At 39.9% G+C, this 12,824-nt stretch overlaps 1 protein-coding gene across 4 annotated transcripts in view; it reads left to right on the top strand.

Annotated features, from left to right (window-relative positions):
* The window catches only part of PSMD1 (proteasome 26S subunit, non-ATPase 1), a 115,961-nt gene that overhangs the window by 37,249 nt on the left and 65,888 nt on the right, over positions 1-12,824 (top strand). Inside the window, exons 17-18 of one of the 4 annotated variants that reach the window (XM_017004517.3) lie at positions 562-565; positions 6,710-9,090. The exons of the other annotated variants lie outside the window; for them this stretch is intronic. Coding sequence (XP_016860006.1) covers positions 562-565; positions 6,710-6,925 — 220 coding nt within the window. The 3' untranslated portion in view covers positions 6,926-9,090. Of the gene's footprint in view, positions 1-561; positions 566-6,709; positions 9,091-12,824 lie in introns of those variants that run through there. 4 annotated transcript variants of the gene reach the window in all.

Consider the following 12,824-nt stretch of genomic DNA (forward strand, 5'->3'; position numbering starts at 1 on the left):
CTAGGGTTAACACCTGTTGGAGGGGCGGTGCCGTCCTCTAGGGTTAACACGTGTTGAAGGAGGGGAGGTGCCTGTGAGCTGGCAATCTGGGCATTGCAGGATAATTTCTTTAGCTAGCCTTTGGGTGAGTTTAAATTGTTTAGTTAAATTACTCCAATTTTGGTGGAAAAATTGATGCAATTGGGTGGCTTGGTCAAGCAGTGACGTCATAACTTGCATATCTGCTTGTTCATTGCCATAAGCCAATGGGCCAGGCAGTGAGCTGTGGGCTCCAATATGTGTGATTAGAAATAGGATGTGTACGTTGATCCAGCAATTGCTGAAGTCAAAGAAAAAGTGCACACAGGGTGGGCTCGAGAATGGACTTGAGGGCTGTTTCAAGGTTCTGCAATAAATAAACAGAGTAAGCAGGGTCACTAACAATATTGATGGGCTGAGCAGAAAAAGTTTCCAGTGCCAGTATTAAGGCTCCAGCCTTAGCTGTCTGAGTGCTAGTAAATCCAGAATGAGTAAGGGAATTATGTGGTTTCTACCAAATTGCCACTTTTCCATTTTTACCAGAACCGTCAGTAAAAAGCATTAAAGCGTTGGGTATGGGGGAGTGAACTACTTTTATAGGCACAACTACAGAAGTATGAGATAAGAACTGAATTAAGTTTGTCAGCAGGAAGGGCATGCTCTATATGGCCTGTATAATCAGAAAGTGCTATTTGCAGGTCTAGAGATAAGGGCAATACTGCTTTGAATTGCTTTTTACTTGAAGGAATTCTATGACATCAGGGTCATAACCTAGTGACTGATTGCATTGTCTGCAGCTTGTATAGTTGACTTTATTAACTAGCTGGATATAGGGAGATAGTGTTTTAGTCCAGGTATGTGAGCAAAAAATCCATTCCAGGAAGCGTAGCCCTGGGGCCATTTGTCCTATTAACCCTGTCGGGAGTGTTTAGTAGGAAAAACAAACAATTGAACTGAATAATTTGGGTCTATGCGATTTAGTTGCCTCTGAGAAATAGCTTGCTCTATTTCCTCAATTCCCCTTTTTGCTGCAGGAGTTAAATACCTGGGAGAGTCTGGGGCTGTATTGCCCTTTAGGATGGAAAACAGGTTTTGCAGCTTATCAGTAGTCATGCCCAAGGTGGGACGAAGCCAATTAATATTGCCCAATAATTTTTGATAATCATTTAAGGTGTATAAGTTGCTAGTATTTAATTTAACCTTTTGAAGTCTTATTGACCAGGAAATTAGCATGTATCCAAGATATTTCCAAGGAGAGGACATTTGCACATTTTTAGGTGCTATGTTTAAACCTCTTAGCTGTGTATTCTTTATGACAGAGGCATATAAACTTAAATGCCTTTGTTGGGGCTGCTAGTAAATATCATCCATAAAATGAATAATCTTGCAAGTAGGAACTTCTTTTCTACTGGGGAGCAAAGCTTGATTGACATGATACTGACACATGGTAGGACTATTTAGCATCCCTTGAGGAAACACTTTCCAATGAAATCAGCTAGCTGACCTTTCATTATTGATAGCTGGTATGGTAAATGCAAATTTTTCTCTGTCCTGTTCTGCAAGGGGAATAGTATAAAAGCGGTCTTTTAAGTCAATAACGGCTAAAGGCCAATCTTGAGGAATCGCTGCGGGGGAAGGGAGGCCCTGTTGAGGCCCCATGGGTTGCAAATTAGCATTAATAGCCTGTAAGTCATGCAGAAGTCTCCATTTGCCAGACCTTTTGGGAATGACGAAAATGGGTGAATTCCGAGGGCTGTTTGACAATTCTATATGGCCAGCTTTTAATTGCTCCTCAACTAATTCATGGGCTCTTTGTAATTTCTTTCCCTTTAAAGGCCACTGTTCTACCCAAGTTGGATCTTGAGAGAGCCATGTTAAGGGTAGGGGAGGAATAATAACAGTGGCCATTATTAGAAAGAGGTCTGCAGAGTGACCTCAAACCTCTTGTAAATGGGCTAGCGGCTCCGTTCTTTCTAATGCTTTTTCTTATCTCTTTATAAGCTTTAAAATAAATGGGTTCATGTACCTGATTGCCTTGTTGATCTTGCATTACCAGGCAGGCTAAGAGCTCCCCTTCTAATGCTGCTTGCCTAAGACAGAATCCCATAGCTGTAGGATATCCCTTGTCTTTTTTCCAATTTATTGGAGGAGGGGACTCAGGCAAAACCTCCATTTCCTTTTTGTTATTTTTTTCTGTTAATGGCGGGGCTGAGGGAGATGGAGTCGGTAAGGTAGGTGATGGTTCCTCTTCCCTACCCTTTTTAGGCACTTCTGTGTATAGCAGGACCAAAGCAGCCCTGACTAAGGCCCATAACATTAGAGATGTTACTGGGACCCATTGCCCTTCTGCATGATGTTGTTTAAGATTTCTCCCAACTGGTTTCCAGAGCTCTATGTCTAATGTACCTTCTTCGGGGAACCACGGGTTATGGGAAACAACTGTTACATATAAAGTTTCGGTGCCACAAAAGAAATAGCACTTGAATATAAAATTTTCTTTTTAATTCTCAGCAAGGCAAGTTACTTCTATAGAAGGGTGCGCCCTTACAGATGGAGCAGTGGTGAGCGCACACTTGGACAAGGGAGGGGAAAGCGTTCTTATCCCTGATGCACGTGGCCCCTGCTGCTGTGTCATTTCCCTATTGGCTAGGGTTAGACCGCACAGGCTAAACTAATTCTGATTGGCTAACTTAAAGAGAATGACGGGGTGAGCGCTTTGGCGGGAGTCAGGGCAGAGCAGGTAGCAGGTAATTGGAATGAGTTAGGGTGGAGCAGATGATCGGAATGAGTCAGGGTGGAGTAGGAAATCGAAAAAGGTTGCTTTATGAGGAAGTTAAGTTTAAAAGTAGAAGGCAAAGAATTGAACATACTGACATATTCTTTGAAAACAAATTTAGAACTCATATCTAACAATCCCTCCCCTTGTATTTCCTTACAGCTTTCTTTTCAAACTTTTTTACAAGTCTTGGCTTAGTTGTTTTGCTTGATTTTCCAAAAGAAGAAGCTTCTCTGGATAAGATGGAGGATAGTTGGTGGAGGTTTTAGTAAGTGCTGTTTTTATGAGCCTCTGCATCAACTTACAGATGCATGGTATGACACAGCACCCAACAAGAATAATTACCTATTACGGCAGTGAGGGAAATAAGAATTGAGGCTATTATTCCTTTCCATTTACTGAACTACTTTTCTAGCCATCCTGTAAAGGGGTCATTTACCCTTGAGTTGCTGGCTAACTCATTGGATAGAGCAGTCAGACCTTGCAGTGCCTTTGTTATACTTCCATTAGGAACAGTGTTGTTTGGGATAAAGGTGCAACATTGAGTTTTAATCATGACACAAACTCCTGCTCTTTCTGCTAATAAATAAGATAGCCTAAGGCTATCTTATTTTCCCAAGCCATCTGACTAGTAGCCCCTAATTGTTCAGCTATTCCTTTAACAGCATCTCTAGTGTAGTTAATAAATCGCTGCTGGTTGTAATAGATGTAGTTTATACAGTCTACATTTTTATTGTCACCCACCAAAATATTGACTCAAATCCTGCAGCTATTTGATTTTGGGTTTTAAATTGATCTAGTATTCCCTGTGGGACTCTAATTGTGTCTAAATAGACGTGAGAGTCGAAAGACCCATAGGGGGCTTCTCTTGCTTTACAGTGTCTTATTTTTCCTTCCTCTGGTTGATGAAATGCCAGGGTGAAAGGGATAGCCAATTGGACTAAAGCACAAGTGCACTCCAGTTATTTGGCAGAGTGTCCAGCAAAGGTCCACCACAATACCACCACACATCTGCTTGGGGATGAACAAGGGCTGACTGATTGATAACCTGTTGAAAATTCTTAAGCTCACTGCATCCCTTCAGGTCTCCAAGGAATGCTAAGTTTCCTCCCTGTCGTGAGAGACATGAATTGAACTTAGTGTTGGGAGACGGAAGCTGGATGGCCCTCGGGGGCTGACCCGCAGGGTGCCGGACTGCTTTCTTCTGCTAGCAAAGCAGTTGCCACTACAGATTAAATGCATTTGGGCCATCCACGGGTTACTGGGTTAAGGATTTTTGATAGGAAAGCTACAGGTTGTAAGTGGCTTCAGTGCTTTCTGGCTACACCCTTGTTTACACTGACAACAAGGTGGTATTGGAGTGTTATAGGGTCACGGAGAAGACCTTCAATTATCAATTATAGGTTTTTAATTTATCCTGGCTTTTAAAGGAATAGGGTACACTGTTTTCTCTTTACTACTTCTATCTCTCTCTCTCTTTGAGTTTCTGTTCTCTCTCTTTCTCTGTCTCTGACTCCCTCTTTGTCTCTCTGTCTCTTTCTCTCTCTCTCTGTCTCTTTCTCTCTCTCTCTGTCTCTATCTCTCTGACTCCCTCTTTTTCTGTCTCTTCTTCTCTTTCTCTCTCTGCCTCTCTTTCCCCTTTCTCTTCTCTCTCTCTCTCTCTCTCTCCCCTCTCTGCTGTTCTTTCCCTGCCTCTGCCAGCCACTTATGCTGCTGTTCTCCCCTCTCCTTCCACTTCCTCTAGGGGAGGGACCAGCGGGAGTAGAGCTTCTCTTTCTTCCTCTGAAAAGAGGATGCCCAAGATGGACATTAACTCGACCCAAGTATACAACTGAGGTCCTAAGAATTGGTCAATTTGGTCTGCCATTCCGTAAAGGTCATCCAGTAGCAGTTTAAGCACCTTTTTAAAATTCTGGATTTCTGAACTGGTTAGGGGAGCATTTACAAAGCCAATGGCCCCCCCTTCCTTGTGGTACCTCTTTCAAAGGAAAGAAAGTCGGGGCTGATCTCTTAGGTACAGAGGGAAATGGGAAATTCTGAATATCTTTTTTACATTGTTCTACTTCACACTGGAGTCCTTTTAGAGAGGGGTATTTAGGTTGGGAGGGAACAGGCTGATGGGATGGTAATTCCTAAGAGTCAGGGTTATAACGAGGAAGGATAACGTTGAGTAGAGAGGGAATTTGGAATGGGATCTGAGGCAGCAGTGGCTGTCTGAGCGGAAAGATTGGGGACACTGAACGGGGTTAGATAGTCTAAGGGATCCCATGCGCTGGAATTTTTAGGCATGAGAGCTGGCTCCTCTGACTTTTCATTTTGAGGTACCAGATTGGGTTCTTCCCTATTTGTTTTTAAAGGAAAAAGGAGGGCAGGTCTTTGCCTCCAATAAAGGGCATAGCCTAGTTCTTCCTGAGACACTGGACTTTTACCATTAACATATCGGATTAGAAGCTGACACGTTACATCCTCATTCGACCCAAAGTTTGGTCAGAAGATTGAGGGTTTGAAGGTGGGTCCCTGAGTCCAAATAAAACAGCAATATTGTTATCATTTGTTGCTTTTTCCTAAGTTTAGTCCTTTCGTTATCCTTCCAGTGTTTTAGCATGAGACCTAGGGAGATATCCAGGGGGATGTCTTTGTTACCATCTTTATCTCCCTTGCTCCCTGTCTTGCTTGGGGTATTTCCCATCTTGATGGTTTTGGGGTAAGGTTCAAGGTTCAATTTCCCTTACTGGAAATTTCTCACCTTTTGGGGTGAGGCTCAATTTCCCCACTGGAAATGTCTTGCCTTTTGGGGTGTGAGGCTCAGTTTCCCCACTGGAAATCTCTGCCTTTTCTGCTACTGGAGGTTTGTGTGAGGTTCAATCCCCCGAAATGGGGATGGCTCGCCTCTTTTTAACCTCTAAGCCACCCCGACCAAGGAGTAGTTCACTGCCCCCCTCCCCCTTGCGGCTTTCTTACCTTGGTCCTGACCACCAAGGAAATACTTTACCGGCTCCCACGGCTTCTCCTTCCTTGGTCTGTGCACAGAGTCATCGCTGCAGTATGTGAAGATCCTTTAAGCTAGGTTGCTGGCCAGTTTTTTATTTTTTATTTTTTTCTGCGTTGCTGAGAGCTCGGGTTATTCCTCGCACTGGGTGGGTCTTGATTTCTCACCCCTGAGGCCACCACAAGGGGGCAGGGCAAGCCTCCTCACGAGAGAGAACCAGAGACCATCCCGGGAGGGGAATGCAATCATGGGCGAGCCCCCAAATTGTTACATATAAAGTTTCGATGCTACAAAAGGAATACCACTCAAATATAAAATTTTTTTTTAATTCTCAGCAAGGCAAGTTACTTCTATAGAAGAGTGTGCCCTTAAAGATGGTGCAATGGTGAACACACACTTGGACAAGGGAGGGGAAGGGGTTCTTATCCCTGACGCACATGGCCCCTGCTGCTGTGTCATTCCCCTGTTGGCAAGGGTTAGACGCACAGGCTAAACTAATTCTGATTGGCTAATTTAAAGAGAATGATGGGGTGAGTGCTTTGGCAGGAGTCAGGGCAGAGCAGGTAGCAGGTAATTGGAATGAGTTAGGGTGGACCAGGTGATCAGAATGAGTTAGGGTGGAGCAGGTCATTGGAATGAGTCAGCATGGAGCAGGTAATTGGAATGAGTTAGGGTGGAGTAGGTAATCAAAAAAGGTTCCTTTATGAGGAAGTTAAGTTTAAAAGTAGAAGGCAAAGAATTGAACATACTGACATATTAATTATTTGGAAAGAAATTTAGAACTCATATCTAACACAACAGTTTGCATTAGGTCCCTTAATTGAGCCTGCAAAACCAAGGCTCCGCTAGCTTTAAGCAGCTGTTTCAATACTTTTATATACTGTTGCCATTGAGCTGATAACTGTTGTCCCATGATGAAACCCTAGCCTGAACAATCCCCTCGAACTTGGAAATCCACAGTGGGCACCAATGACTTACTGACTGCGCAGTTTCTTCACCTTCATTTTCGAGGGTTCCCTCGCAATCTGTTGCAGCGTTCCTCACGCGGGGGCACCACCTGCCGAGTCTGTCCTGCAGATTCTGGCCAAGCAATGGATGAAAGAAGTTCTCAGACATGGATATCCAGTGAAAGAGCAGGCTAGGGGGTTGCCGGCACTAGGGGCTGAAGAGAGTTAGCCACCCCGATAAACCAGAGATGCTTGCATTTGTTTAGCACAGATTTAATGAGAAAGGCTTGGAGCAAACACAATTTGTGGGTAATTAACATTGTTCACCCCCAAGTAGAGAGCAGTCCTGCACACGAGTGATCAAAGGTTAGTGTCTGGAGACAGGAATAAACAAATTTATCTAGATAAGTTCCTTTACATTCCCTTGTTATCTAACCCTTGCTCTTAAGAGAATTTAACTGCCTTTAGCTAAATCCTCTTTTGAAGCTTTTGCAAAACCTCCCGGCCTTCCAGAAAGGTTTGCATCTTTCCCTATAATTTTTATAACTTTTCCCACCACCCTGACCGGTCTCCTACAATCACTTCCAAGATTAGGCTGTAGAAAAAAATTAATGAAAAGAAACATAGTTGAAATTACAACAAAGAATTGGGAATATTTAGTAAAGTTAGTTGATAGAGTAGCAGCAGAGTTAAGAGAGGATTGACTACACTTTTGAAAGAAATTCTGTTGTGGGTAGAATAGCATCAAACAGCATCTTATGCTACAGAGAAATCTTTTGTGAAAGGAAAAGCTAATGTGGCAGACTTCATTGTCTTGTTTAAAGAAATTGCCACACCCACCCCAGCTTTCAGCAACCACCACCCTGATCAGTCAGAAGCCACCAACATCAGGAGAAGACATTCTACCAGCATAAAGATGAATATGCACTGAGGGCTCAGATGGTCGGTGGCACTTTTTAGCTATAAAGGTTGTTGGGTTGTTTGTTTTTTAAATACAGAGGGTCTTCCTCTGCTGCCCAGGCTGGAGTGCAGTGGTGTGATCATTGCTCAGAGGCAAACCTGAGCTTATGGAGCTTGGGTTGAGGCAAAACTGTAGAATAGCAGAGACTACAGGCACTCACCACCATGCCTGGCTAATTTTGGTTTGTTTGTTTTGCAAAGACAGTGTCTCACTGTGTTGCCCAGGCTCATCTTGACCTCTGGCCTTAGGAGATCCTCCTGTTTCCACCTCCCAAAGTGCTGGGATTACAGGCATGAGCCACCCATTGGGTCTGGCTATGTTTTTTAACTGAGGTATATACATTTTTTTGGACATAATGATGTTGCACACTTAATAGGCTATAGTATAGTGTAAACATAACTTTTATATGCCCTGGGAAACCAAAAAGTTCGTGTGACTCACTTTACTGCTATACTCTCTTTATTGTAGTAGTCTAGAACCAAACCCACAATACCTTGAGGTATTTTATTAAAGAATAAAGTTAAAATACAGTTGACCCTTGAACAATACGGGAGTTAGCATCACTGACCCCACAACTCTTACACTGTCGAAAATTCACGTATAACTTTTGACTCCCCCAAAACTTAGCTACTCATAGCCTATTATTGATCAGAAGCCTTATGGATAACATACATAGTCAATTAACATATAATTTTTATGTTATATGTATTATATACTATATTCTTACAGTAAGGTAAGCTAGAGAAAAGAAAATGTTATTAAGAAAATCATAAGGAAGAGAAAACACTCGTCTTCACTATGAAGTGCAAGCGGATCATCAGAAAGGTCTTTACCCCATTGTCCTCACATTGGGTTGGTGGAGGAGGAAGAGGAGAGGTTGGTCTTGCTGTCTCAGTGGTGGAAGAGGTGGAGGAGGTAGAAGGGGAGGCAGAAGAAGTAGGTACACTCAGTGTAATTTTTAGTGAAAAAAAAATTGCATATTAGTGGGCCCACACAGTTCAAGCCCATATTGTTCAAGGCTCACTGTTATATGGATACTGCCTGTTATAGCTTATTTGTTATATTTGTTATATTTGTTATAGCTTATTTATTATATTTGTTATAGCTTATTTGTTATGAAATTACACAGTAAGTTGCTAAAGTGCATGTTAGATGAGTCATACGTCTTATGTCCTTTTAAACTTTAGAAGAGATTTTCTACCCCAGGTTCCCTGGGAGTGAATCTTTGTTATAAAAATTGTATGCAAATCCAACACATAATTTCTTGAACATCCATTATGAACTAGGTACAGAGTCTTCTCCATAATATCCCAGATAGGAAGTCATCCATCTACAAACTGTAAAATATTTTTTTCCTATCGTGGATGGAAATGTTGAATAAAACAGAACAAAACACAGACCCATATAGCATGGTATTTCTTCTTACACCAGTTTTCTTGAATATGATTGTTAATCAAATACTGGTCTTCACTGTGTTATCCTCTAACTCTCATTTTGCCAACTTTTTCATAAAGACTCTAGACAATTTTCACAAAATCCTTATGACATAATATTTACCCAAGTCTACTAGTCTGGCACCTCTAAACGGGTTATGTGACTTATTGGGCCTGATTGTTTCTTAAGTTACACTTTTCATAGAAGTGTCCAGTGTTCTTCGAGGCCTCTTCTGAGATCTGGCAAAACCTATGTGTATTAAGCTATTCTGCATTTTGTCAAAAGATCTGCCACAGACTCCACACTTTGAACTTCTTGAACCCTATCTCTTCTTTTCTCTTTTAAAATATTGGAATACTTCATCATTTACATTCTTTTTGTACTTTGCAGTTTTCTGTTTTTCTTCCAAAATTTGGTTTCATAATTACATACACAAATTTGTTCTATTTCTAGGAGGTGATTCATTTAGCTTTGTGACTGGAACTCATCTAAGGCAACTAGACTCTTTATCTGTTTTGTGTTTGATCAGTCTTTCTGTCTAAAAATTATTCTCCTTGAGAGAAAAGATGGAAGCAAAATAAAATTTAATTACTTCTATTTCCTTCCTGTTATCTTAGCATATCATGTAGCCAAGCTGTGACCCTAACCTTTCCCTATTCTTGCTGTAGAGATTAGACACAATTAAAAAATGAGAAAATGGTCTGTCATGGCCATCCAGAGTGGGTTCTTTGTGTGAATTATCAGAGAACTAGATAATTTTAGTATGGAAAGTATATTCTTCCAGGTATACCCTTAGTATCTCTTGGGTTGTGTAAAGCATCCTACTCATGTTTGACTCTTAAGTTGTTTTGTTTCCTGTCAGTTAATGTTTTGTATTGTCAGTGACTTTATATTTTATAACAATATAAATCAGTGGCTTGGTGTTTATATTCTGCCACATAGGAAGTTGACGGTCATTTAAAACTGTTTTTCTTCCATTTTTAATCTGATGGTGCTTTGCTCTCTAGTTAACAAAATTCATGTCTGCCCTTTTATTTCCTGTAGCTAACACAGGTTAAGTTCCCAGTTTCAGCAGCAGATGTCTCCCGTGAGCTGCTTAGGTTTTGCTGAGTTTTCCACTACATAGTATAGTCAAATAAGTTATTTATGTGCTTGCTACTTCTAAGGGACCATTCTTGGTTCTCTTTTCATAAAACGAATCTTTAAGAAGTGGGAACTGGAAAAATTTTGTCTAAAATTTATTTTATAAATGAAAATTAAATATAATTGACCTGTTTAAAGAGCTGGAGTTAAAAATCCTCTCTATGTTCTCTAAGTTTTAGTTTACTGCCATTTCCCTAGAGTGAGAATTTTTTAAAGTAGAAGAAACCAGTATTCACATTTTTTTTAAAGATAAGGAAATTGAATTCCAAAATGTTTAATAAATTTCCCCACTGTCATAAAGCTAAATACTGAGATTCTAAACAGGCTTCATGATAGACCAGTGCTTTCTCCACCTTGCTTTCAGTCAGAGCACCATCTTTTTGAGTGGCTGTGATAAAACAGCTTTATTCTTAATTTTCCTTATTAACTTTAATATTTGAGAAGTGTCTGTCCTATATCCTAAGACTGGTACATGTTTTCTGAAGTGACATCATTTACTGTCGTAGCATGCTCTCCATCTTTTTTCCCCCCTTTAGATTTCCCTTTTAAAATGAATTTGTGGACATTTGGTCTTATACCATGTTTTAAGAGTTTATTTCTTCATAATTTTTAAAAACTTCTTTTCAAGTATACTTATTGGATATGAATACTAAAAACATGTTAGTAAACACATATTTGTAGTTCAACAACTAAGATAAAATTGTCTTTGTGTAAAATTCTTATGTATATTATCTCCTTTATTCTTAGGATAGTCCAGGGTGTTACAGTATTTTATTTCTTCCTTCTGATATTTGTAGATTGTTATTTGTTCATAATGCTTGTAAATAAAAGTAAAAAATTAATTTGATAACTATTCTTGCTTAATTGAAATGAACATAGTACATTAATTTTTATCTAAATAAATGTTCTCTAGTGGAACATCTAATAAATAAGTGATTGTTGGGCCCATTGTTAGTACTTTCAAAGGCAGATTTTATTATTATAACAACTTATGCAGTACTGTTCATGTCATTGACTTCTGAAAACTCATTTGGAAGTGAGTAGAATCTGAATTATTTTAACTTGACACTGGAAAGGAAAATGAAGAAAGTCAAAAGAATTGGTCTTTGTATATCTGTTGATATTAAGTTTCTATAATGAACAAATTGATAATCTGATATGGACATTTCTTAAAATCAGACAGTCTTGGTGGTCCCTTGCAGGGTGCTATGACTTAGGCTGTTATAATATGGCATTAAATGTTTCTCAGTGTATAAATTCATAAGCTTTTAGATACGGATCTTGCAAGATGAACAACAGATTCTTTGTGCAACTGTTTTTTAGACCACACAAAGTGATTCCTTGAATATAAAAATGTTACATCATCATTGATCCTCATAATTTGAAGAAACCCTCATAGTGAACCAGTTACCACTAACACTAACACTAACTTCATGATCATCTTTACATCTCCATTCACAATTCTATATCAATTTGATACATATTCTCTGTATACTGTTCTCTGTTTTTGCCCCAGTATCTTTGTGTTTCTGTCTGGGTGCTTGACTTTTCCTTACTTTTTGTCATTTTCATTTTTTTTTTCTACATCTTTGTTTTCTTCTCTCCATTAATTGGCAGTAACATGGAATAAAAAGGTTTTTTTTTTTTTTTCAAAATTATTCTAAATAGTTATAATCTGTTCCTTTTCTTCTAAGATAAGACTATTAACTGGAGTTCTTTTGTTACGTAAGGGTGTTTAACTGCTGAGATTTGCTTTCAAATTATACATCTCTTTAAAGTATTCATAAAATGGAAATACCAGTTCTGCATCGAAGTGGTAAGAGTTTGTGGCTTGGTTGTACTTTTCAGAAATAGTCAATAGTGGAGTTATGTTTCACTTTCTAGAATATTCTGGAAATAGTAGAAAGGTCTCTCATTAACTATAGAAAGATCTCTGGGTTAATTGTAAGCAAGAGCTAGACATGGTGACTCACACCTGTAATCCCAGCACTTTGGGAGGCCAAGGCAGGCAGATAGCTTGGGGCCAGGAGTGGAGACCAGGCTGACCAACACAGCGAAACCCCATCTGTACTGAAAATACAAAAGTTAGCCAGGTGTGGGGGCGGGCACCTGTAATGCCAGCTACTCAGGAGGCTGAGGCATGAGAATCACTTGAAGTCAGGAGGCGGAGGTTGCAGTGAGCCAAGATTGCGCCACTGCACTCCAGCCTGGGTAACAGAGTGAGAATCTGTCTCAAAAAAAGAAAAAAAAAATTGTAAGCAAGGAAATTTTTCTTAAGGGTTTGACATGAAACAGTTTATAGGTGTTGTGGCTAATTCTGTAGGTGTGCGTATATTTAAGCACACAAATTTGGAGGCAGTACAAAGCATGTGAGAAGATAGTTCTTTTGATCTAGATTGTTATCTATGGGTAGAGTTTTGGCAATGTGATTGCCTGCCAACTCTGGTGTATAGATTTCCTGAAACAATTATGTATGCCTTCAGATGCATAAAATACAGAATTTGGAATACTGTCATAGTGATAACTGAAAACTTAATCTCAACATACCTTGGCAAG

The sequence above is a fragment of the Homo sapiens genome, chromosome 2 (genome assembly GCF_000001405.40).
Source record: "Homo sapiens chromosome 2, GRCh38.p14 Primary Assembly".
Taxonomy (NCBI): Eukaryota; Metazoa; Chordata; class Mammalia; order Primates; family Hominidae; genus Homo; species Homo sapiens.